The sequence below is a fragment of the Homo sapiens genome, chromosome 7 (assembly GCF_000001405.40).
Source record: "Homo sapiens chromosome 7, GRCh38.p14 Primary Assembly".
NCBI classification, from domain to species: Eukaryota; Metazoa; Chordata; class Mammalia; order Primates; family Hominidae; genus Homo; species Homo sapiens.
Window position 1 is genome coordinate 99,322,014 of NC_000007.14, and position 26,527 is coordinate 99,348,540.

Genomic DNA, 26,527 nt, shown 5'->3' on the forward strand with positions numbered 1-26,527 from the left:
ACTTGAGAACAGAAGGATCTTACTCTACTCTTATTAACACAATAGTTGGCACTTGGTGAGTATTTATTAAATATTTGATGCCTTGAATCTTGACCAAATTCTAATTCAACTCAATTCCAATTCCAATCCAATCAGCAAAGCAAACAAAATCAGCCCACGGTAGTGTCCAACCCCTCCCTCTCTTCCATTGCCCACTTCTAAGTACCACCTTCCCTGGCACTAATTGTTAAGTCTAATTAGGGAAAAGGAGTCAGGATGGTGGGAGCAGGGGGAAGCAAAAAGAAGCAGGTAAACTACAAGTCTGCCATTCTTTATGGTCCAGACACACAGCCCTCCTCTGCAAATAACTCACAATCTTCCTGCGCCCAACAATTACAGCATAAACACTATTCCATAAAATCCCCAGCAAGCCTTTCTTTGCAGTTGGCTGCTCTTCTGCTGATTCTGCCTGTTGCCTTCTCGTACCTTCCTACTTTCTCTAACAAATCTGCCTTTATCTACAACTGTCTTGGTAAATCCTTTTACCCACGTACCACCAGCCCAGACAGCTGCCCCTCACCCATGATACTAATCTTTTAAAAGGTTGAGTCTGCATTTTGGATACTACATCACACATGCCTTAAAAACAAACATTAAAAGTAACTCACCCTCCTTAGAACCCTGATGGTTGGCTTTTATAGCAGGGCACGATGGTATAACCAGTAAGGCCAGAGCAGGTGGCCAGCCCCCCAACCCTCCCTGCCTTGTATCAAAACCCTCAGGTTTCAGGCCAGGCTTGGTGGCTCATGCCTGTAATCCCAGCACTTTAGGAGGCCAAGGTGTGTGGATCACTTGAGGCCAAGAGTTCAAAACCAGCCTGGCCAACATGGCAAAATCCCATCTTTACTAAAAATACAATAATTAGCTAGGTGTGGTGGCACGCGCCTGTAATCCCAGCTACTCAGGAGGCTGAGGCATGAGAAACGGTTGAACCAGGGAGGTGGAGGTTGCAGTGAGCTGAGATCACGCCACTGCACTCCAGCCTCGGTGACAGAGCCAGACACTGTCGCATAACAAAACAAAACAAAAAAATTCCTCAAGTGTCAAAATTTTTCTTTTTCTTCAATTACAGAAGAGCCCCGCTTAGAGCTAAGATTCTACCATCTGGAATGACTCATAAAATATGAAGTGGGCCGGGTGTGGTGGCTCACGCCTGTAATCCCAGCACTTTGGGAGGCCGAGGCGGGAGGATCATGAGGTCAGGAGTTCGAGACGAGCCTGACCAACATGGTGAAACCTTGTCTCTACTAAAAATACAAAAATCAGCTGTGCATGGTGGCGTGTGCCTGTAATCCCAGCTACTCAGGAGCCTGAGGCAGGAGAATCGCTTGAACCTGGGAGGCAGAGGTTGCAGTGAGCCAAGATCGCACTATTGCACTCCAGCCTGGGTGACAGAGTGAGACTCCATCTCAAAAAAAAAAAAAAAAAGTGAAATGCATCAAATGGTAAGCTTTGGTTAGGCTAAATTGCAAAATACTATTTCAAATCAGAACCAGAGATTAATAATAGTAAATATCTGTTATTTTTTTCTGGGGCTAACATTTCTTGTCACTTATCATAAAGTCTGGTATTAATTTGCATGTGTTACTCTCATCTACCCAGATTATAAATTCCATCAAAGCAGTAAGTGTTCCTTGTAAAGAGGTGGGATCTTCATAAACTCCTCTACATACTTGGGAATTGGTTCAAGTAACTTGCAGACACACAAGGAATCCCTGCTTTCCACACCTGCTGTCCTCCCTTTCCCAAGCTGTCTCTTGGAGGGGGTAATGAATTTACAATGATCTTTCTACACTATCTGCTCGATTACCCTATGACCAAAGACTTTGTAACCACAGGTCAGAGTTAAAATCAGAATTTCAGTGAAGCGATGTTCCATGAACAGCTGGATTCACTAACTCAGTGGTCCCCAATCTTTTTGGCAGCAGTGACCGGTTTCATGGAAGACAATTTTTCCACGGAAAAGGGGGCAGGGGCTAGGGGAGAGGGGTGGGGTGGTTTTAGATCATCAGGCATTAGATTCTCATAATGAGCATGCAACCTAGATCCCTCGCATATGCAGTTCACAATAGGGTTCACTTTCCTATGAGACTCTAATGCCCCCACTGATTGGACAGGAGGCAGAGCTCAGGCCGTAATGCCAGAGATGGGGAGCGGCTGTAAATACAGATGACACTTCGTTGGCTCGCCCTGCTCACCTCATGTGCCAATGGGTTCCTAACAGGCAACAGACCAACACCCGTCAGCAGCCAAGGAGTTGGGGAACTCTGCACTAACTCCAAAGAACATAGCGGGTCTGGCAGGGCATGGTGGCTCACGCCTGTAACCCTAGCACTTTGGGAGGCTGAGGCAGGCGGGATCACCTGAAGTCAGGAGTTCGACACCAGCGTCGCCAACATTGCAAAACCCCGTCTATACTAAAAATACAAAAATTAGCCGGGCATGGTGGCGCGCAGCTGTAGTCCCAGCTACTCGGGAGGCTGAGGCAGGAGAATCGCTTGAACCCGGGAGGCGGAGGTTACAGTGAGCCGAGATCGCGCCACTGCACTCCAGCTTGGGCGACAGAGAAAGGCTCCGTCTCAAAAAGATCACAGCGGGTCTGAAATTGAGAGTTTGACAAGTATACCTACATAAACCTCACCTTACAATACCAAAGGGAAGGAGACAAGCCCTTGGTTGGCCTGGCATGGCGCTGGGCGGCGGCGGGGGGGAGCTCACATCGCTTTGGGAAGCAGAGGCTAGAGGATTGCTTGAGCCCAGGGGTTCAAGACCAGCCTGGACAACATAGGAAAACCTCATCTTTACAAAAAATATAAAAATTAGCCAGGCACAGTGGCTCACACCTGTAATCTGAGGGCTTTGAGAGGCCAAAGAGGGACGATCGCTTGAGCCCAGGAGTTCAAGACCAGCCTAAGCAACACAGCAAGACCCTGTCTCTACCAAAAAATAAAAATTAGCCAGGCGTGGTGGTGTGCACTTGTAGTCCCAGCTCCACGGGGGGCTGAGGCGGGAGGATCGCTTGAGCCCAGGGGTTCCAGGCTGCAGTTAGCTATGATCGCGCCACTGCACTCCAGCCTGGGCTACAGGTTGAGAACCTGTCTAAAAAAAAAGAAAAAAGAAAAGCTCTCGATTAGCCCCATCTGTGGGGGCTGGGGATGCTCCAGAATTTCTAGGGTTCAAGGGCAGCAGCCTGATTGCAGGTGGGGATCAGGGCATTTCTTGGAGGCTGCATCTGCGGGGCAGGCTCTGTCCTCTGTGAATTGGGGGCCTTGCCAAGTTCCCCCAACCCTTTTATCCCTGCTGCGCCATCTTGGGAGCAGGGAACTGCTTGGGAGCAGGGGATTCTGTCCCAGGAAGGGTCGAGAAAGTTCCTGGGGGGCTTCAGGGGCTTTCCACAGAGGGAGCACGGCGGGGGCGGAGGCTCCCTGCAGGGAGCAGCGCTGAGGTAGACTGGCTCTGACCTTGGCTCTCTGAAGGGAGAAAAACTTAATCGTTCTTCAGGTCCAAGAGCTCCAAAGACCCCCAATCCTCAGTAACTCATCTCCTGACAAAAGACCTTGCGAAACTGCCAAAGCGCCACACTTCGGCTCGCGATTGTGAGGAAATTGGTTGAGGAACGGAGTGGGACGCCCATGCCGCTTCGCCAGCACTTGCCAGGCGTTCCGTGGGGCAGCATCTCCTCTGAAGGGCCGCCGACAGTACCACGCCAATGGAACGGCGTACCCTCCTCCACTGCAGCCTGCCTAACCCCGGACTGCGCGCCCGAGCTGTGCGCATGCGCGGACCGTCCGCGCGGTCGCAACGCGCAGGCGCCGTGTCCACTTCCGGGATCTGTCAGCCGCTCCCTCTGGGCTTCCGTCCTCCGCCCGCGCCCGACGGAGCCTGTTCGCGTCGACTGCCCAGAGTCCGCGAATCCTCCGCTCCGAGCCCGTCCGGACTCCCCCGATCCCAGGTAACGGCCAGCAGGGGCGAGCGTCTCACCCTGTCGGCCTCTCTTGTCCAGGCCTGGCGCCGGACTTGCCGCGGGGGCAGTGAGACGGGGGCTCAGGCCGCGGGGCCCCGAGGCTGAGGCGCGGCCGGGTCTCCCTGCCGGGGCCTCCTGAGGGGGCGGGGATCCCCTTTCTCCGTGGATCCCCTGCAGCTTTTCTCAGGATGTTCGAGCTCCTAGCCGCCTCCGATGCCCGAATTAACGGCCCCTTCTGCGCCCCCAGGGTCCTACTTGCACCTCTGCTGGGGGCATTTGTCACCGTCTCTAAAATTGTGTCAAGTAGGAGGATCTCCCGTAATCGAGCGACCCGCGGGACTATTCATCTCTTTAGTGTCTAGAGTCGATCCCTGCATACAGTAGGCGCCCATAGGATGTTTGCCTGCTCTCTAGGGCAGCCCTCAATCCTTCGGTTAATGGGGAACCTTCTCGATCTCGAGAAAAACCTTCTCCCGAGTTCTTTTAAGATTTCCCTGCATGAGTACCGCCTTCCCCCAAGTCAAAATTGCACCCTTCTCGGCGCTCTTATTCATTTAGTGGAATCTTTTATGCCAGTCCTGGCACCACCACTTTGTTGAGTGATCCTGGGAAGATGCTTCTCTGCGCCTGTTTCCTCATCTGCAATAAAAAGATTCTTACCGTTTTGCTAAGAATCAAGTGAGCTTATTTGCATAAATTGCTTAGAATAGTTCCTGGCCGAGAGTAGGTGATCAATAAATATTAGCTATTATTACTGCTTCTGGGCATTCTATGCATATCCGTCTTCCTTTCCTTTTCTATCTCCTCCACTCTCCCCAAACACCAACCCTCCAGACTTGAAGACCAGAATGGTGTCAGCCTTATTTATGTTTCTAGCCCCATCCCGGTATTTACAACACTGCTGGGAACATGATAGGCACTTAATCAGTTATAGCTTAGAATCTTTGATTATAAAGCCATCTGTTCTCCTGCAGCTTTGGAACCTTCTGTCTATGTCAACTCGTAGCTTAAATTGCCGAGATTATCTTAGTTCTGCCCTCTCTCCTCAATTTTATCTAGTCTTGTGGTTTCACATAGGGCCTGGGTTTTCAGGTATCTAAAAACAGAGGAGGGGCATCAGTCAGGAAGGTGTTTTTGTCCTGTTAGGGAGTGGGTAACTGTGGTTGTTGTCTTCCTTTTTTTTTTTTTTCCTGCAGCCTCGACCTCCTGGGCTTAACAGATCCTCCCACCTCAGCCTCCTGAGTAGCTGGGACTACAGGCGTGTGCCACCACACTGGGCTAATTTTCATTTATTTTTATTTACTTATTTTTGGAGATAGAGTCTCACTCTGTCACCCAGACTGGAGTGCAGTGGTGTGATCTTGGCTCACTGCAACCTCCACCTCCTGGGTTCAAGCGATTCTCCTGCCTCAGCCTCCCGAGTAGCTGTGACTACAGGCATGAGCCACTGCGCCTGGCTAATTTTTTTTTTTTTTTTGTATTTTTTGTAAAGACAGGGTCTCCATATGTGGCCCAAGCTGGTCTGGAGCTCCTAAGCTCAAGCTATCCTCCCACCTCGACCTCCCAAAGTGCTGGGATTTTGGGTGTGAGACACCACACCCAGCTTATATGGCTATTTTCTCCCACAAAGTATTCAGAGATCTTCTGGAGTTCATCTGTTAATCACAGTTAAAGGAAGGGACCATTTCGGAAAACTCCTATTTTGGACGCGGAGTGGTGATACTTTGATCTAGTTGTCTCATCCAATGCTGAAACAAATCCTATATAAAGAAGTTTAAAATGGTCTGCTGGTGAGGCTGGTGCCTGGACTGGAGCCTGTCTGAATGTTGAGGAGGGTGTGGTGACCTTGTTGGAGTACTTGATGTTGCTAGATTGGCTAATGAGAGTGATTAGGAACTAGGTGAATCACGGTCTTGAAAACTGACCCTAAACAGGGGACAGAAATGCCCACTTTTGTGGGCATTTTCAAGCTCCAAAGGAGTAGGGCCAAGAATTTATAGCATATGTCAACGTTTCCAAGCTCAGAGGAAACTAACTGGTGGGTTCTATGGTTGGTTTAAAAGCCTTGAGTTGGCCAGGTGCAGTGGCTCACGCCTGTAATCCCAACACTTTGAGAGGCTGAGGCGGGTGGATCACCAAGGTCAGGAGTTTGAGACCAGCCTGACCAACATGGAGAAACCCCGTCTCTACTAAAAATACAAAATTAGCCAGGCATGGTGGCACGTGCCTGTAATCCCAGCTACTCAGGAGGCTGAGGCTGGAGAATCGCTTGAACCCGGGAGACGGAGGTTGCGGTGAGCTGAGATCACACCATTTCACTCCAGCCTAGGCAACAAGAGCAAAACTCCATTTAAAAAATAGAAAAGCCTTGGGTCAAAGGGAGAAAGGGAACCTGCTGGCATGTATTTCAGGCTAGGCTCTGTACTACTTGCTTTCACATGTCTCATTTAATTCTCCTTGTGATCTCAGTGGTATATCCACTTTACAGAAGAAAAAAATGAGATTTAGAGATATCAAGTGACTTGCCCAGGGTTTCATAGCTAGTGTGTGTCAAAAGCCAGGGTTCAAACCCAGCCTCGGCTTCAGAGCCCATGGCTAGCCATACATCAGAATGACTCTGTACTCAGTGATAGATAAAGAAAAGGGGTGGGGGCCGGGCATGGTGGCTCATGCTTGCAATCTTAACACTTTGGGAGGCTGAAGTGGGCAGATCACTTGAGCCCAGGAGTTTGAGACCAGCCTGGACAACATAGGGAGACCCCTGTCTTTACAAAAAACTAAAAAATTAGCAGGGCATAGTGATGCATGCCTGTGGTCCCAGCTACTCAGGAGGCTAAAGTGGGAGGATGGCTTGACCCTGGGAAGCCGAGGTTGCAGTGAACTGAGATCACACCACTGCAGTCCAGCCTGGGTGACAGAGCAAGACCTTGTCTGAGAAAAAAACTCAGAGAGAGAGAAAAGGGATGAGGGGGGAGGGAGGGAGGAAAAGAAAAGGGATGAGGGGCAGGGCGCGGTGGCTCACGCCTGTAATCCCAGCACTTTGGGAGGCCGAGGCAGGCGGATCACGAGGTCAGGATATCGAGACCATCCTGGCTAACACGGTGAAACCCCATCTCTACTAAAAATACAAAAAAATTGGCCGGGTGTGGTGGCGGGCCCCTGTAGTCCCAGCTACTCGGGAGGCTGAGGCAGGAGAATGGCGTGAACCCGGGAGGCAGAGTTTGCAGTGAGCCGAGATCGTGCCACTGTACTCCAGCCTGGGCGACAGAGCGAGACTCCGTCTCAAAAAAAAAAAAAAGAAAATAAAGAAAAGGGATGAGGAGTTCCTGGCATTTTTATTTGTCCCCTTTTCTCCCTCTCTAGCTCTATTAAGACAAAGCTTTTCAGATTTCACTTAAACATTAACCATAGTTTAGAAATTATAATTATCACCCTATGACAGAAGGTACCCTTTCTTGGTACATAATTCAAGCTATTAGGAATTTCTTCTGCATTCACTGGGTTTCATGAATGCAAGTGGTGTTTGCTAGGTGCATTCTAAATTTGACAAACATGAGTGTTGTCTTGGCCTGCAGACTTAAAATAGCCACCTGATTATAAAAGAAGTACAGGTCTTAAGTGTATGTCCAAATATGGAACTTGAATGATATGGCAAAATTAGAAATGCAATTTTAGAAGTAATTACACTGTTGTGTAAATGGCCACCTCTTTTGAAGTCTTTGCTACATTGCTTATAAAACACTGAGTTGAACATGAGAAAGCCTTTTGTCTGCAGCTGTACTTTTCAACTGGACATGAACCATGTACTTTTATGGCACGTAGATATTCACATCAAATTTCTGATTTGCAGACCGATTTTATTTTTAGTTAACAAATAAGCTTATCAAATGTGGCTTTTGAACTAAAGCGCTTTTAATTAAGGAGTTATAACAGCATGTTATTTTGAGTAGCTGTTACTAAAATCTGTTGTGATGGAACAATTTGGAGTGAGCATCTGATATCAGAGATAAAGAGAGAAGCATGCAGTGAGCATCTGGAAGTTCTTGTAAAAAAAAAAAACAAATTAAACATTCTCATTTGAATGCATTTAAAATTTTTTTAAATTGCCAATTCCTAAGCTTTTTCTTTGTTAGTTGTAGTTTGCTTTCTCGACTGTATAAAAGAAAAAAGTAATGACTTAACTATCTTCACTCTTAGAATAGAATATGAAATGCTAGCATTTCTCTGCCAGTTCAAGGTATCAGATGTTTTTTATTTAAAGTTGCACTTACCTTTGGGTTCCCCCCCCCTTTTTGTTTGTTTGTTTGTTTTGTTTTGATACAGAGTCTCACTCTGTCACCTAGGCTGCAGTGCAGTGGCACCATCTTGGCTCACTGCAACCTCCGCCTCCCATGTTCAAGAGATTCTTGTGCCTCAGCCTCCTGAGTAGCTGGAATTACAGGTGCCTGCCACCATGCCCGTCTGATTTTTGTATTTTTAGTAGAGATAGGGTTTCGCCATGTTGGCCAGGCTGGTCTCGAACTCCCGACCTCAGGTGATCCGCCCACCTCGGCCTCCCAAAGTGCTGGGATTACAGGCTTGAGCCACCATGCCTGGCCTGGGTTCCTTTACAATTAGCAGAGGTGCTGCTTCTGCTTTCTGAGACTGATTTCTGCTTTGTCAGCTGAACTTTCATTGTTCACTTTACAACCTTCTAGTGGCCCTTCCATTCATTTCCTGCTTGCATCAGAATTCATATCTCACATTTCAGCCTCCACCCAAGGTTAACATGACACATACTTACGTGTGTTGAAACTTGAGTTTATTGTGAGGGTGCCTCCTGGAAATGATAAAGTTGGGGGTAGAGGAAGGCTGGCTGCTTTTTGAAAAATGTTCCCATTTCAGTTAATGGTTGCTTCTTCAAGTGTATCTAGATTTGGGTACCTATAAAATAGAGAATTTTTAATTTAATGTTTTGCAGATTCCTGCTTTTCATTTAGTTACAATTAAAAGTTTAAAAAGTATTATCACAAACGCCTACATACTCTTTGCCTAGATTCACCAGTTAGCATTTTGCCACATTCACATTCTATATATTTTCTGTCCTGAACTATTGAAAATAAGTTACAGTGGCTGGGCATGGTGACTCATGCCTGTAATCCCAGCACTTTGGGAGGCTGAGGCAGGTGGATCACTTGAGCCCAGTCAGAGCAGCCTGGGCAACATGGTGAAACCCCATCTCTACAAAAATTACCTGGGCTTGGTGGTGCATGCTTGTAGCCACAGCTACTCAGGAGGCTGAGGTGGGAGGATCACTTGAGGCCAGAAGACGGAGGCTGCAGTGAGCATAGATTGCACCACTGCCCTCCAAACCTGGGTGAGAGAGCAAGACCCTATCTCCCCTGCCCCCCACCCAAAAAAAGAAAAGAAGTTACAGAAGACATCATGATACTTCATCCCTGAACACTTCATCATTATCTTTGTCTCCTAAGAGCTAGGACATTCTCCTATCTAATGGCAATACCGTTATCACACCTAAGAAAATGAAAATAATTCCATATGTAATATCTAGTTTAAATTGTAATTTTCCCTGTTATACAAAATACATCTTTTCTGCCCATTTTTTAAAATGTGGATTATGGGCCAGGCACAGTGGCTCACACCTGTAATCTCAGCACTTTGGGAGGCTGAGGAGGGCGGGTCACTTGAGGCCAGGTGTTCAAGACCAGCCTGGCCAACATGGTGAAAGTCCATCTCTACTAAAAATACAAAAATTAGCTGGGCCTGGTGGTGCACACTTGTAATCCCAGCTACTCAGGAGGCTGAGGCAGGAGGATCACCTGAGTCCAGGAAGTGGAGGTTGCAGTGAGCTGAGATGGTGCCACTGTACTCCAGTCTGGGCAACAGAGTGAGACTCTGTCTCAAAAAAAAGAAATTATATTATAATCAACTTTCACTTATCAAATTTGGTTTTCATAGCTCTCTAGAACAGTTCTCATCCTGCCTCCATATTGCCTTTTTGGAATAGTCCAGGCCAGTTCTTCTATAGAATGGCACACACCCTGGCTTTAACTGTTTATTTCCTCCTTGTGTTGCTTGACTAGTTCCTTTATCCTTTATTTCTTGTAAACTGAAAATTAGATCTGAATCTTGATTGGATTTAGAGTAAATATGTTTGGCATAGAGACTTCATTGGTAGGTTGACCATATTCCCAGGTTTCTCCAGGATAGCCCTGTGACCTGTTGTGTTGGCATAATTATTATTTATTTTTGCTCTCAGAAGTGTTCTGGTTTGGATGGTACGTTAAGTCACTATTTATAAGTGACGATGTGTACTTCATGTGGACTGCCATCAGGAGGCCCATCCAGTTAGATTGATCCACTATTTATAACATGGTGATTACGTGGTGATTGCCAGATTTCTTCAACGTAAAGGCATCTTTTTCTCTTTGTAGTTAATAAGCAATCTGTGGGATGATAATTTGAGACTAGGAATATCCTGTACCCATGGTTTAAGAGTCCATTGACGACCCTGAACAGAATAAATTCCACATTAGTTGTTACAATGCTAGATTTATTCAGATGGTTAAGTTTTGACAATGAGATAGATTTTTTTTTTTTTTTTTGAGACAGAATCTCACTGTGTCGCCCAGGCTGGAGTGCAGTAGCGCGATGTCGGCTCACTGCAAGCTCCACCTCCCAGGTTCGCCATTCTCCTGTCTCGGCCTCCCAAGTAGCTGGGACTACAGGCGCCCGCTACCATGCCCGGCTAATTTTTTGTATTTTTAGTAGAGACGGGGTTTCACCGTGTTAGCCAGGATGGTCTGGATCTCCTGACCTCGTGACCTGCCTGCCTTGGCCTCCCAAAGAAAGTTCTGGGATTAGAGGTGTGACCACCATGCCCGGCCTTTTTTTTTTTGAGACAGAGTCTCGCTCTGTCGCCCAGGCTGGAGTGCAGTGGCATGATCTTGATTCACTGCAACCTCTGCCTCCTGGATGCAAGCAATTCTCCTGCCTCAGCCTCCCGAGTAGCTGGAACTAGAGGCGTGTGCCACCACGCCCAGCTAATTTTTGTATTTTTAGTAGAAACTGGGTTTCACCAGGTTGGCCAGGCTGGTCTTGAACTCCTGACCTTGTGATCCACCTGCCTTGGCCTCCCAAAGTGCTAGTATTACAAGCGTGAGCCACCGTGCCTGGCCAGATTATTTTTTAATGGGAGGACAATGTTTTATTTATTTCCGAACATCTTAAGATCCTCAGGCAACTTAAACATTGGTTACTTGCCTTTTCCCTATTGTATAAAATGCTTTTTGTTATTGTTCATTGCAGCTTTCTCTCCTTTGAAAACACTAAGAATAATGTCACTGCATCAGTTTTTACTAGAGCCAATCACCTGTCATGCCTGGAACAGGGATCGTACTCGTAAGTATTTTATTAACTTTGCTTTTGTATTTTGGTACCTTTGGTACATTTCATCTTTAGACACATTTAGGGCTCACATATCTCAGTATCACATGTGCAAAGAACATACATCTATTATATACATTCAGAAGGGAACTAAGTCAGTCCTTTGGTTTACAGATAGATAAACTGAGGCCCAGAGTGAAGGAAGGGCTTTGCAGAGGTTACATACCAAGTTCACATTTAGTCAGAGCACTAGGACCTAGAATAAGCTGTTTCAGAGACAAGTGGTTTGCTCCTGAGCTACTCAGAGCATTATTAACTAGTATTTACTATGTTATTCTTAGTCAGCTTGAGTTTCTAGTTTTCTAGCTCCAGCAAACTAGAAAGGGATGGAGAATGCTCTTAGAAGTAGGCACAGTTCAGCAAGCAAAGTGACAGATAATATGACAAGATGAGGCTGGGTGCAGTGGCTCCTGCCTGTAATCCCAGCACTTTGGGAGGCCAAGGCAGGCAAATATCTTGAGCTCAAGAGTTCAAGACCAACCTGAGCAACATGGGGAAACCCTGTCTCTACGAAAAAAAATAGAAAAACTGTGTGTGTGTGTACACACACACACACACACACACACACATATATATGTATTTTTTTTTTTTGAGACAGAGTCTCGCTTTGTCACAAGGCTGAGCATGGAGGCTCATGTCTGTAATCCCAGCACTTTGGGAGACCGAGGCGGGCAGATCATTTGAGGTCAGGAGTTCGAGATCAGCCTGGCCAACATGGTGAAACCCCATCTCTACTAAAAATAAAAAAAATTAACCAGGTGTGGTGGTACCTGCCTGTAATCCCAGCTACTCAGGAGGCTGTGGCAGGAAAATCGCTTGAATCCGGGAGGCAGAGGTTGCAGTGATCTGAGATTGTGCCACTGTACTCCAGCCTGGGTGACAGGGCAAGACTCTCTTTCTCAAAAAAAAAAATAATAACAATAATAATTAAATAATAAAAACACAGAAAGAGCAGGATTGGGGAGAAAAAGTCCAATTTCGCTTATTTTTCTTTTGTTGCTTGTACTTCTGCTGTTGTATCAAAGAAACCATTGCATAATCCAGGATCACAACAATGTGTGCCTATGCCTGTGTTTCCTTCTAAGAGTCTTAAAGCTTTAGTCCTTTTATGTAGGACTTTGGTCCATTTTGAGTTAATTTTTGTGTATCCTGTAAGATAGGGTTCCTTTTGTATGTAGATATCCAGTTTTCATTTTTTTCTTCTTTTTTTCTGTGTTTATTTATTTATTTATTTATTGAGACAGAGTCTTGCTCTGTCATCCAAGCTGGAGTGCAGTGGTGCAATCTCGGCTTACTGCAACCTCCGCCTCCCAGGTTCAAGTGATTATCATGTCTGAGCCTCCCAAGAAGCTGTGATTACATGCATGCGCCACCACACCTGGCTAATATTTTTTTTTTTGAGACGCAGTCTCGCTCTGTCGCCCAGGCTGGAGTGCAGTGGCACAATCTTGGCCCACTGCAAGCTCCGCCTCCGGGGTTCACACCATTCTCCTGCCTCAGCCTCCTGAGTAGCTGGGACTACAGGCACCAGCCACCATGCTCGGCTAATTTTTTTTGTATTTTTAGTAGAGACAGGGTTTCACCTGTTAGCCAGGATGGTCTCAATCTCCTGACCTCGTGATCTGCCCGCCTTGGCCTCCCAAAGTGCTGGGATTACAGGTGTAAGCCACTGCGCCCGGCCCACACCTGGCTAATTTTTGTATTTTCAGTAGAGACAGGGATGCGCTATGTCACCCAGACTGGCCTCGAACTCCTGGCCTCCAGCAATCCACCTGCCTTGGCCTCCCGAAGTGCTGGGATATACTTAGTGGGCATGAGCCACCACACCGGCCAAGATAATCGAGTTTTTCCTGCACCTTTTGTTGAAAACTATCCTCTCTGTTTTATTGCCTTGGCCCCCTTTTTGAAAATCAACTGACTGTAAAGATGAGAGTTTATTTCTGGACTCTCAATTCTATTCCATTGTTCTTTATGTTTATCCTAATTTCAGGACCAGTCTGTCTTGATTACTATAGCTTGGTGGTAAGTTTTGAAATCAAGAAGTGTAAGTTCCAACTTTGTTCTTTTCAAGATTATTTTGGTTATTGTGTCGCTTGCATTTCCATATGAATTTTAGGATCAGTTTGTTAATTTCTTTTAAGACGTCAGCTGAGATTTTGACAGAGATTACTTTGAATCTGTAGATTCACCATCTTTTTAAAGCATTTCAGGGCTGGGCGTGGTGGCTCATACCTGTAATCCCAGCACTTTGGGAGGCCAAGGCAGGCAGATCACGAGGTCAGGAGATCAAGACCATCCTGACTAACACAGTGAAACTCCATCTCTATTAAAAATACAAAAAATTAGCCCGGTGTGGTGGCGGGCGCCTGTAGTCCCAGTTACTCGGGAGGCTGAGGCAGGAGAATGGCGTGAACCTGGGAGGCGGAGCTTGCAGTGAGCCGAGATTGTGCCACCGCACTCCAGCCTTGGCAACAGAGTGAGACTCAGTCTCAAAAAAGAAAAAAAAAAAAGCCTCTGTATTGGGTAATTGAAAATGTATAACCTAGCAGGACAGTGAATTTAGAGCATGTGTTTTGTGATCATCTCACAGAGCTTCATAGCCAACTTTCCTATATCTTCTGTTTCCACTTTCCCATCTAATAATAGGCTTTTGGAGTATTTCCAATTATTTTTAATACAGATGCAAGCTATCATTGTCCTCATTTAAACTACTTGATAAATTCAGCATATTAAGTCAACATTTTTTGTGACATTGTAATTTGAAATTTATAACATTTTCCAGGTTTAAATTTGGACTTGGCTTTTGAAATCTCTATATACATGTGAGAAAGTGAGAGAAATATATAACTATTTACCAGAAAGCACTCTTAAGTCCTTAGGATTTTATAGCTAGATATTTACCTAGTTCCACAGTTTTATCTGTAAAGCAGATAGATGTAGCTTTCCTAAGGAGGGTAGGAAAGTGAGTGTAGGTGGGGACTATTAATGACTGGCCTAAAGTTTGGATCATAGGTCTTAATTTTTTTTTTTTTTTTTTTTTTTTTTTTGAGACAGGGTCTCACTCTGTCACCCAGGCTGGAGTGCAGTGACGTGATCTCGGCCCAAAATGCAGCCTCTGCCTCCTACGATCAAGCGATTCTCCTGCCTCAGCCTCCCAAGTAGCTGGGACTACAGGCGCGTGCCACCAGGCCTGGCTAATTTTTGTATTTTTAGCAGAGACGGGGTTTCCCCGTGTTGGCCAGGCTGGTCTCGAACTCCTGATCACAGGTGATCTGCCTGCCTCAACCTCCCAAAGTGCTGGGATTACAGGCGTGAGCCACCACGCCTGGCCCATAGATCCTAATTTTAATTTTAAGAAACCAATAAAAAGAAAGAGGGGCTGGGCATCGTGGCTCATGCCTGTAATCCTAGTGCTTTGGGAGGCCAAGGCAGGAGAATTGCTTGAGGCCAGGAGTTAAAGACCAGCCTAGGCAACATAGTGAGACCCTGTCTCTACTAAAAATAAAAATTAAATTCAATTAAAAAAAAAACAGATGAACTAGATGGGGTAAAAAAAGATACATGAATACAGGTCTAGTATCCCTTATCTGAAATGCCTGGGACCAGAATTTTCTGGACTTACGATTTGGGGATATTTGCATAATATATACGATTTGAGCACTGAAAATTTGAAATCCAGCTGAGCCTGGTGGCTCATGCTGGTAATCCCAGCACCTTGGGAGGCCAAGGCAGGCAGATTACCTGAGGTCGGGAGTTTGAAACCAGCCTGACCAACATGGAGAAACCCTGTCTCTACTAAAAATACAAAATTAGCTGGGCGTGGTGGCGCATGCCTGTAATCCCAGCTACTTCGGAGGCTAAGGCAGGAGAATCGCTTGAACCTGGGAGGCGGAGGTTGCAGTAAGCCAAGATCGCGCCATTGCACTCCAGCCTGGGCAACGAGAGCAAAACACTATCTCAAAAAAGAAAAAAATGAAAATCTGAAATCCAAAATGTTCCAGAGAGCATTGCGTTTGAGCATGACCTTTTGAGTGTCATGTTGATACTCAAAAAGTTTTGGATTTGGGAGCATGTCAGATTTCAGCTTTTCAGATTAGGGATGCTCAACCTGTATGAGTTTTTAAAAAGTCCGTTTTGTGTATTATATTTTGGATTAGTTCAGGAAATTACTCTTGAAAACAAAGTATTGTGATTTATATTGGCTTTATTGTAAAGGAGAATTTCAGTATAGTTTATCAGCAGAATCAATTTTTTTAATATAAACTAGTGGTTCCAGCCTGGGTCCATGATAGCAGTAATGGAAGTCCATAACCTATTTTCAGTGTTTCAAAAAGACAAACAGAAATTTAGATTTAGCTCTAATAATATTGCACAGGTGAATGAAACTGTCAAACATTTTTACCCTGATCTAAAGTTATTTTAGCTAAGTACACTAACATTGTTTATTTTTCGCTGGTTAGAATCATTAATTGACAGTTGTACGTGTCTCTGGGAAAATGAATTTTAATCTTAGTTTTCCTGTAAAGCATTATAAAATACAGGGTCCAAGTAAAGGTTAAAAAAAAAATGGAATTATTCAGAGGTGAATTTGGGAACTACTTTTTCAAAAGTTTTTCTTTTCCTTACTATAGTCTGCTTTTAAAACAACTGTGACATGTCCCCTTTTTGGTGACAATTGCAAGTTCAGGTGTTAACTGTTGTTTGACTTGTGTCTCCAGAGATTGCCCTCAGTCCCAATAATCACGAAGTGCACATCTATAAGAAGAACGGGAGCCAGTGGGTGAAAGCTCATGAACTCAAGGAGCACAACGGACACATCACAGGTAAAGGAAGATAGCCGTGAGCTTAGTGTGATATTTCCAAATCAGGCACTCTTCCTTTTAGATAAAGAGCCTAATAAACCCAGGTGGCCATAATTTTTTTTTTTTTTTTTTTTTTTTTGAGAAGGAGTATCACTCTTTCGCCCAGGCTGGACTGCAATGGCGCAATCTCGGCTCACTGCAACCTCCACCTCCCGGGTTCAAGTAATTTTCCTGCCTCAGCTTCCTGAGTAGCTGGGATTACAGGCACGCGCCACTATGCCTGGCTAATTTTTTTTATTTTTAGTAGAGATAGGTTTCACCATGTTGGTCAAGCTGGTCTCGAACCCCTGACCTCGTGATCCTCCTGCCTCGGCCTCCCAATGTGCTGGGATTACAGGAGTGAGCTACCGCACCTGGCCCGTAATATTTAAAGTCATGCAGCACTTACTGAATTTCCTTAAAATTTTAAAGAAAATACTATAATGATCTTAGTTGTTAAGTGCTTCTTGTGGCCCCAGCTGGTACCCAGCACTCTACCGTTGCTATGGAAAGCACTGAACCTACCCTGAGGACTAAAGAGCTAAAATTAGGAGATGAGACGTGAAATTGAAAGCTAGATAACATGAAAATGTAGACAACACGAAAACGTGCGCCAAACTATTTCCAAGTGTCTTCCAAAAGTTTCCTTTGTGTTTTTAGGGTAAGGAAGACTTTCCAGAATATTGAGAAGAACAAAGTAATATAATAAACACCCATATCAGATAATCGCCACCAGAATTACCAACTTTTTCCCTGTGCCAGGAAGTAATTTCTTTTCCTGTATCAGGAAACTTAAGGAAAAAGGATGTAATAATAAGGAATATTATTCTTGATGATGGTAAAGTCACCTCTCACCAGCAGTCCTATTCCTCTCCCCTGGAAGGCAGACTATAATTTGCTATGACACCATTCCAGTCCATTTTTAATACATTTACATACATACATATTCATAAACAAGCTTAGGCCAAGCACAGTGGCTTACACCTGTAATCCCAGCACTTTGGGAGGCTGAGGCGGGAGGATCGCTTGAACCCAGGAATCCAAGACTAGCCTGGGCAACATAATGAGACCCCCCGTTAGCACGGTGTGGTGGCATGCACCTGTGGTCCCAGCTACTTGTGAGGCTGAAGTGGGAGGACCACTTGAGACAAGATCAAGGCTGCAGTGAGCTGTGATCACACCACTGCACTCCAGCCTGGGTGACACAGCAAGACCCTCATCTCAAAAAAAAGAAAAAAGAGAAAACAATCTTTAGGACTATTGACTAGTATTTTTTTGAAGCTACATAAATGGCATGATACTATGCATCTCCGGCAGCCTGCTTTTGCATTCATGATTGTTTCTGAGATCCATCTATGTTGCTGTCTAGATCAAGTTTATTCCTTTTAACCACTCTTTAGCATTTTATACCTCATTTATTTACTCCTTCCTCCACTGAAGAACATTTAGGTTGTTTCAATTTTTCCATATTACATGAAAGTGCTGAATAGGCATCCCTTGATTTCTGTACGTATGTGTGAATGTTTGTAGATGGTAGATGTGTTAATACCACAGGGTATGCATATCTGCAGTGCAGTGTTGCCAGGCCTCATCAGATTGCCATCATTCCCACCTGTCCTGTATGAGAGTGCTCATTTTCCCACACCCCGCCACATACTTGAGATGGGAAGACTGAAGAATGCATGAAAGGTTCATCCATTGCTTCTGTAAGTTGTATTTTCCTGATTCATGGAAAAGTTGAGATACTTTCAGACGTGTATTAGCCATGAGAGTTTTTCTTCCTTGTGACTGTCCTGTTCATAAATCCTGATCATTTTTTCATTGAGTTTTTGTCTTTTTTCTGTTTTTGTTTGTTTGTTTGTTTGTTTGTTTGTTTTGAGATGGAGTGTCATTCTGTCGTCTAGGCTGAAATGGAGTGGTACAGTCTTGGCTGACTGCAGCCTCTGCCTTCCAGGTTCAAGCAATTCTCCCGCCTCAGCCTCCCGAGTTGCTGGGATTACAGGTGCCTGCCACAATGCCCAGCTAATTTTTGTATTTTTAGTAGATGTGGGATTTCACCACATTGGACAGGCTGGTCTCAAGCTCCTGACATCAAGTGATCTGCCTGCCTTGGCCTCCCAAAGTGTTGAGATTACAGGTGTGACCCTTTTTTTTCTTTTAGACAGGGTCTTGGCTCTGTTGCCCAGTCACCCAGGCTAGAAGGATCATGGCTCACTACAGCCTCAACCTCTTGGGCTCAAGTGATCCTCCCATCTCAGCCTCCCCAGGAGCTGGTACTAAAGGTGTGCGCCAGCACACCCGGCTAATTTTTTTGTAAAGATAGATTTCACCATGTCGCCCAGGCTGATTTTTTATTCTTTTAGTTGGACTCTGCAATTTTACCTCTAATCACCTAAAATACTGATAAGCTTAGAGATATCCTTACCCAAATGAGAGAACTTAGCATGTTTTGCTATTCTACATCCTTTACAGAAGTTGTCCTGCATTCTTCAGCAATAACTCATGGCCACCCTTGCTTTGACCAGTGATTTATAAATAATGCTCTTGAGCACCAGTAGCTGAGTATATTTCCAAAGCAGCACCAAAGACAGCGTTTCTATTTTTGTTGCTGTTCCTTTCCCACAATCTTATTTCTATTAGGTTTGGCCTATTTTCTTAAGTTCCTTTGCCAGTGGCCTCATAGCCTAAGAATAAGAATACTCATATTTTAAATTGGAATTTTAGGCCGGGTGCGGTGGCTCACACCTGTAATCCCAACACTTTAGGAGGCTGAGGCGGGTGGATCACCTGAGGTCGGGAGTTTGAGACCAACCTGGCCAACATGGTGAAACCCTGTCTCTACTAAAAATACAAAAATTAGCCGGGTGTGGTGGCAAGCACCTGTAATCCCAGCTACTCAGGAGGCTGAGACATGAGAATCGCTTGAACCCAGGAGGCAGAGGTTGCGGTGAGCTGAGATGGCGCCACTGCACTCCAGCCTGGGGTATACAGCAAGACTCTGTCTCCAAAAAATAAAAAATTAGGCTGGGTGCAGTGGCTCAAGCCTGTAATCCCAGCCCTTTGGGAGGCTGAGGCGGGCTGATCACCTGAGGTCGGGAGTTCGAGACCAGCGTGACCAACATGGAGAAACCCCATTTCTACTAAAAATACACAAAATTAGCTGGGCGTGGTGGCACATGCCTGTAATCCCAGCTACTCAGGAGGCTGAGGCAGGAGAATTGCTTGAACCTGGGAGGCGGAGGTTACGGTGAGCCGAGATTGTGCCATTGCACGCCAGCCTGGACAATAAGAGCAAAACTCTGTCTCAAAAAAAAAAAAAAAAAAAATTAATTGGAATTTTAGAATTTAAAAGGAAATACTTTTAAATGAGAAAAGGCAAAGATGAAAGACCAAAGAAATCGCCAAAAATGTGAAATATTTAGTTATGTGTTTTTTTCCCTCTACTTCTCTTTTGGGGTCCTTTGAACTTGGGCCTGTTTTCTGTCTAGCTGCTCACATGGCATTTTTTAGATCTGAAATAACTTGTTGGAAAAATCTAAATATAACTCTGGGGCAGGAGATCAAGGATCAGACATATTTTCTCAGAAAGATAGTAATTTTAGGGGAAAAAAATATTTTCTGAAGCATTCTAGAAGAAAAAACTAGTCCATACTACAAAGAAAAGAAGTGTGGCAAACATCAGGGATATCAGAGTTCTGAGGTTTTATTCTTTTGTATTAAATATTTTTAAGAAACATGTTTTGTTACCATGGAAAATTTTAAACAGATTTTTAAAAAAGTGGAATAGTATAATGAGCCTTTTATACCCATCACCTGCATTCCACGATTATCGAGTAACAGCCAATCTTGTTCTTCTCAATTCACTTTCTCCTTTCCTGTACTAATTTGAAGCACATCCCAGACATTATATTGTTTCATATTTCAGTTTGCATCTCTAAAAGATAATGATTTTTCTTTTTAATAATAATAAATATTGATCAGGCTTACACCTGTAATCCCAGTGCTTTGGGAGGCTGAGGCAGGCAGATCACTTGAGCCCTGGAGTTCAAGACCAGCCTGGGCAACATGGTGAAACCCCATCTCTACAAAAAATTAGCCAGGCATGGTGGCTTGCACCTGTAGTCTCAGCTACTCAGGAGGCTGAGGTAGGAGGATTTCATGAGCCTGGGAGGTTGAGGCTGCAGTGAGCTATGATCACGCCACTGCACTCCAGTCTAGGTGATAAAGTGAGACCCTGTCTCAAAAAAAAAAATCTAATAAAGAGGACAGCAAGCAAAATTATCTTGTAATGAATAAATAAAATAAACATCACTTAGAACACATTCTCATATTTTCTTCCCTTCAGTGGTACAAAAAATTGAGCTGATATTTCATGTGGGTAAATGAATGAATAAACTAAACTCTTCATACTACTTTTTTTTTTTTTTTTTTTTTTTTGAGACACAGTCTCGCTGTGTCACCCAGGCTGGAGTGCAGTGGTGCGATCTCGGCTCACTGTAAGCTCCGCCTCCCGGGTTCACACCATTCTCCTGCCTCAGCCTCCTAAGTAGCTGGGACTACACGCGCCTGTCACCACGCCCGGCTAATTTTTTCCATTTTTAATAGGGACAGGGTTTCACCGTGTTAGCCAGGATAGTCTCGATCTCCTAACCTCGTGATCCGCCTGCCTCGGCCTCCCAAAGAGCCACCGCGCCCGGCCTAACTCTTCAGTCACTATGACTTATGGGTAATTGAGGCTCAGAGGTATATTTGTCTTTTTTCCATATAAATGTCAAGAATGCTAATTATTAATTTTTAGAGAGAGATCTGTAATAAATATTTATTAGTAATATTTCTGTACTTTTTAATGTGAAATTATATTTATAGAAAATACCTCATCAAGGCCAGGCACTGTGGCTCATGCCTATAATCCCAGCACTTTGGAGGCTGAGACAGGCAGATCGCCTGAAGTCAGGAGTTCGAGACCAGCCTGGTCAACATGGTGAAACCCCGTCTCTACTAAAAATACAAAAATTAGCCGGGCATGGTGGCATCTGCCTGTAATCCCAGCTACTCGGGAGGCTGAGGCAGGAGAATCGCTTGAACCCGGGAGGCGGAGGTTGCAGTGAGCTGAGATCGTGCCATTGTACTCCACCCTGGGCTGCAAGAGTGAAACTCCATCTCAAAAAAAAAAAAGAAAGAAAAGAAAAGAAAATACCTCATCAATAAGTGTTAAATGAGTCATGGTGAATTTTGCTCTTGGTATATAAGAAACTGACCTTGAGTCTTGGTATATGAAAAACTGACCTTGACTTTGGGATTCTTCACAGAGGTACCAGATAAGTAAAGTCTCATCAAATAAGAAAAATAAACCTTACATTCAGATACATATTTAGGTATCTTCCTGGTTTAGATGCAAAGAAACAAGGATTCTTTCACAGGACCTGCATCATGTAGAAAAGGTTTTCAGTATGGTTCAACTGGCAGTGACTTTCAGAAGAATATATGATGAATCACAATATATAGTTCCCCCTCTTTACACTAAAGATTATTTTTATTTACCCTGTATGCTGTTTTAGTTGAATGCCATGTAGCAGACTGTTGGTTAATATCATAGAATGAGGTGTGTTAATGAATACAGTTATTTTCACACACACAAAAATCTAATAAAGAGGAAAGAAAGAAGTAATGAATCTTCAGATCTTTAGAAGTCTTAGAAATGTGTGAATGGGTGGAAAGAATGGCCCCGTTTAGTTTTGTAAAGTCTGTAATTATAAAACAGCTCTTCTACATGACCTCATAGACAATCCCGAGTCCCAGACGCTTTGCAGAGAAGCATCCTTGCCTTTCCTTGAGGCGGTGATCAGGACATAGATAGTGGGAAGGATGTGCCTGGGAGGAAGGTCCCAAGACCACGTCTCATCCTGGCATGCCAGTGCCACCCACCTGCCTGTGCCGCAGTTGTTTGTCATTGACTGGGCAAAGCAGATGACCCATGTCTCACTTGCAGGTATTGACTGGGCTCCCAAGAGCGACCGCATTGTCACTTGTGGGGCAGACCGCAATGCCTATGTCTGGAGTCAGAAAGATGGTGTTTGGAAGCCAACCCTGGTGATCCTGAGAATTAATCGCGCAGCTACTTTTGTGAAGTGGTCCCCCCTAGAGAACAAATTTGCTGTGGGAAGTGGAGCACGACTCATTTCTGTTTGTTACTTTGAGTCTGAAAATGACTGGTGAGTGACATCTGAATTTTTTCTATCCCTCTCTATAGAATTTACATTTGCACTGCTGTGTGAGGGCTCACCATAACTCCAGTTTTTCTCATCCGGAGTTGTGTGGTTTTTTCTCTGAAATTCTCGATTCTGTCTGAGCATTTTCCCTTCTCATGTGCATGTTAAGTTAAATCGCACGTTTTTTATATTAACATAGAGCTATTGTGTCCATGTTCTGATCGCCTAACTTGTTTCTTCTGCAAGATGCTATTACTGTTCTCACTCTATACTGCGCAAATTGCTGTTTTCTTACTCTCATTTACAAATAATAACATTGAAAGAGTCTCCGTTCCCTGAGGAATATTTTTTCTTTTTTTTTTTTTTTCACAGGATATCTATGTAGGATTCCTACAGATAACAATGTTCTTTTTTTTTTTTTTTTTTTTTTTTTTTTTGAGACAGAGTCTTACTCTGTTGCCCAGGCTGGATGGAGCGCAGTGACACGATCATGGCTCACTGCAACGTCCGCCCCCTGGTTCAAGCAATTCTCCTGCCTCAGCCTCCTGAGTAGCTGGGATTACAGTCACCTGCCATCGTGCCCGGCTAATTTTTGTAGTTTTAGTAGAGACAAGGTTTCACCATCTTGGCCAGGCTGGTCATGAACTCCTGACCTCATGATCCACCGCCTCGGCCTCCCAAAGTGCTGGGATTACAGGCGTGAGCCACCACGCCTGGTCAATGTTCCTTCTTTAAAGCTTATTTGCCAACCAAATCTGTGTCTTGGTGTAATATTTTACTTGTTTAAACTGTTGAAGTCAAAACTCACCAGAATCTTAGAAGTCTAATCAGCTATTGCACATTTTTTAAATTACTTCTTGCTGACCCAGTCAAAACACAGGTTTATTTTATGGCCAAAACTTATTTTAACTACTCCTTCCTGTTTGTTTTGATAAGGAAACAATTATTCTCCAGCCTGGCCAAGATGGTGAAACCCCATCTCTACTAAAAATACAAAAATTAGCCAGGCACAGTGGCAGGTACCTGTAATCCCACCTACTTGGGAGGAAGCAGGAGAATTACTTGAACTCGGAGGGCAGAGGTTGCAGTGAGCCAAGATCGTGCCACTGCACTCCAGCCTGGGCGGCAAAGTGAGATTCTATCTCAAAAAAAAAAAAAATTATTTTTCTGTGTGGCATGTGTTCAGCATGACTGGTAAATATCCTTCAACGTAAAGTTGTCATTTACTACTAAACTGGCAGTGTTTGTGTTTCTACTAAAAATAGCAGAGTATACATGACTCTTTGTAGCTGTTTTGTTATTTGTATTCTGCTGAAATTGAAAGAAGGGGATTATCATGTTACCTTTGTAATTTAGTAAAACTTCAGAAATTTTATTCTTCAAAAAGAGATTGGGAATTTGCGGTAAAATTGAGTTATGGGCCAGGTACAGTGGCTCATGCCTGTAACCCCAGCACTTTGGGAGGCCGAGGCAGGTGGATCACCTGAGGTCAGGAGTTCGAGACCAGCCTGACCAACACGGATAAACCCTGTCTCTACTAAAAATACAAAAAAATTAACGGGGTGTGGTGGTGCATGCCTGTAATCCCAGCTACCTGGGAGGCTGAGGCAGGAGAATCTCTTGAACCCAGTAGGCAGAGGTTGCGGTGAGCCGAGATCACGCCATTGCACTCCAGCCTGGGCATCAAGAGTGAAACTCCGTCTCAAAAAAAAAAAAAAAAATTGAGTTACGAATTTGAAACATACATTTTTCTTTCAAATGTGAAATCAAGGCTAACAAAATGTTACCTGCTAGAAACTATTTGGAAGTTTCATTGTAATGAGATAGGAAACTAACTTCATTAATATTCTCTCAAGGCTAAACTTTATGTCAGCTGGTACTCCTTGCAATCTTACAAATTTCTACAGGAAACTTTTCTTCCAAGTTAAGCTTCAACCTCAGTAATTGTTTACATTTTTATTCGTTGAGAATTAGTGTCAAGTATAGGTAAATTGGACTTTATTATGGTACAAGGTATTGTCTTTGAACAAGCTGTATGTTTAGGGCAGTTTCTCAGCTGTAGAACAATTATTTCATATTTCATAGGAGTACTTTAAAACAACTTCTCAGAAGTTTATAATTCAGCCATATGAACTAATTATTTTGCTTGCCATCTTTTCCTTAATTAAAAAAATTACATTATAAAGGCCAGGCACGGTAGCTCACGCCTGCAATCCCAGCACTTTGCGAGGCCAAGGCAGGCGGATCACGAAGTCAAGAGTTCGAAACCATCCTGGCCAACATGGAGAAACCCCATCTCTACTAAAAATACAAAATATTAGCCAGGTGTGGTGGTGCATGCCTATAATCCCAGCTACTTGGGAGTCTGAGGCAGGAGAATCGCTTGAACCAGGGAGGTAGAGGTTGCAATGAGCCGAGACCATGCCACTGCACTCCAGCCTGGGCAACAGAGCAAGACTCTGTCTCAAAAAATATGTATACATTATGAAACAATTCGAAATACTGTCTTTTTCTCCTTTTTTAGAGACTTTGTGGGGGATTTTGGTTTTTTATTTTATTTATTTATTTATTTTTTGAGACAGGGTTTCTCTCTGTCACCCAGTCTGGAGTACAGTGGTACAAACACGGCTCACTGCAGTCTCCAACTCCTGGGATCCAGCAGTCTTGCCACTTCAGCCTCCCAAGTAGTTGGGACTACAGGTTTGCACCACCACACCTGGCTAATTTTTTGATTACTTGTGGAGACAGGTTCTCACTTTTCTTGCCCAGGCTGATCTCAAATTCCTGTACTCAAGCAATCCTTCTGCTTTGGTCTTCCAAAGTGCTGGGAGTATAGTTGCAAGCCTCTGCACCTGGCTGTCTTTTTCAGAATGAACTTCTTCAGACAGGATACTAAGAAAGTGATTCTGTAGCCAGGCGTGGTGGCTCATGCCTGTAATCCTAGCACTTTGGGAGGCTAAGGCAGGCAGATCACCTGAGACCAGGAGTTTGAGACCAGCCTGGCCAACATGGTGAAAGCTAATCTCCTCTAAAATTACAAAAATTAGCCGGGCGTGGTGGCGTGAGCCTATAATCCCAGCTATCGGGAGGCTGAGGCACAAGAATTGCTTGAACACAGGAGGCAGAGGTTGCAGTGAGCTGACATTGCGCCACTGCACTCCAGCCTGGATGACAGAGTAAGACTCTGTCTCAAAAAAATAAAAAATAAATAAATAAAAGAAAGTGATTCTTGCTTGACCCCGGGAGGTGGAGGTTGCGGTGAGCTGAGATCACGCCATTGCACTCCAGCCTGGACAACAAGAGCGAAACTCCATCTCAAAAAAAAAAAAAAAAGAAAGAAAGTGATTCTATAGAAAGGTAATTTAGCATTGAAGGAAAGGCATTGGCTCAATATTTAGTCTCCCAACTGTTGAGCAACCAGACGTGATTGGTTTTTAAACAGCAGTTTGGGGGCAGAAATGAATTAGTTAAGCCAAAATACTGACTGGTCCTAGACATAAATCATCTTTTTTGGATGGTGCTAGCGAATTAGAGGCTAATCCCCAACATGAGGTTCTTCTAATTTCTTGGTTGTGATTTTTCAGTGAAAGAAATTAAAAAGAATTTGCAGATTCGTGGAGACTTGGGAAGGATATTAAGCTGTCTTACAACCCCAAATTCACCAAAAATTCAGCAAATCACTGAATATTCATAATAAAAATTGAAGTATTTTCAAACTTCAGTTTTTATCTCAGAGGTTAACGTCCTATGTAATCCGAAATCTCACGAAAACATAACTGAGTTAATCAATATCTATGCTTACTAATGAGGACTGCTGAAAACCAGCTGTTGTGCTGAGAACATCAGGGCCAGGAGTGGAGAAGGCCTGTTCATGGTTCTTTTCCTTTCTGTCCTTTAGCAATGCACCTTGTCAGCTGGGCGTAGTGGCTCATGCCTGTAATCCCAGCACTTTGGGAGGCTGAGGCCGGTAGATCACTTGAGCCCCAGAGTTTGAGACCAGCCTGGGCAACATGGAGAAATCTCATCTC

At 44.3% G+C, this 26,527-nt stretch overlaps 1 protein-coding gene and 1 long non-coding RNA gene across 6 annotated transcripts in view, besides 2 other annotated features; one reads left to right on the top strand and one right to left on the bottom strand.

Moving 5' to 3' along the window:
- LOC105375421 (uncharacterized) overlaps positions 1-3,795 on the bottom strand; it is a 47,593-nt gene extending 43,798 nt beyond the window's left edge. For all 4 annotated transcript variants that reach the window (XR_927798.3, XR_007060450.1, XR_927797.4 and 1 more), the window contains exon 1: positions 3,501-3,795. This is a non-coding gene — a long non-coding RNA (uncharacterized LOC105375421). The remainder of the gene's footprint in view (positions 1-3,500) is intronic.
- Positions 3,451-4,010: an enhancer, noted in NCBI's record as "H3K27ac hESC enhancer chr7:98923087-98923646 (GRCh37/hg19 assembly coordinates)". NCBI's record gives its function as "activates a minimal SCP1, AML or CMV promoter by ChIP-STARR-seq in naive H9 embryonic stem cells {active_cell/tissue: H9 hESC(naive)}" and the evidence as "EXISTENCE:reporter gene assay evidence [ECO:0000049][PMID:30033119]".
- ARPC1A (actin related protein 2/3 complex subunit 1A) overlaps positions 3,885-26,527 on the top strand; it is a 40,365-nt gene continuing 17,722 nt past the window's right edge. The window contains exons 1-4 of one of the 2 annotated variants that reach the window (NM_006409.4): positions 3,885-3,991; positions 11,312-11,404; positions 16,168-16,272; positions 22,280-22,502. In NM_006409.4, the coding sequence (NP_006400.2) occupies positions 11,341-11,404; positions 16,168-16,272; positions 22,280-22,502 (392 nt within the window). In that variant the 5' untranslated portion in view covers positions 3,885-3,991; positions 11,312-11,340. The remainder of the gene's footprint in view (positions 3,992-11,311; positions 11,405-16,167; positions 16,273-22,279; positions 22,503-26,527) is intronic. The other variant, NM_001190996.2, reaches the window with a different exon arrangement.
- Positions 3,986-4,165: a silencer, noted in NCBI's record as "silent region_18405". NCBI's record gives its function as "represses an Ori minimal core promoter by ATAC-STARR-seq in GM12878 lymphoblastoid cells {active_cell/tissue: GM12878}" and the evidence as "EXISTENCE:reporter gene assay evidence [ECO:0000049][PMID:35858748]".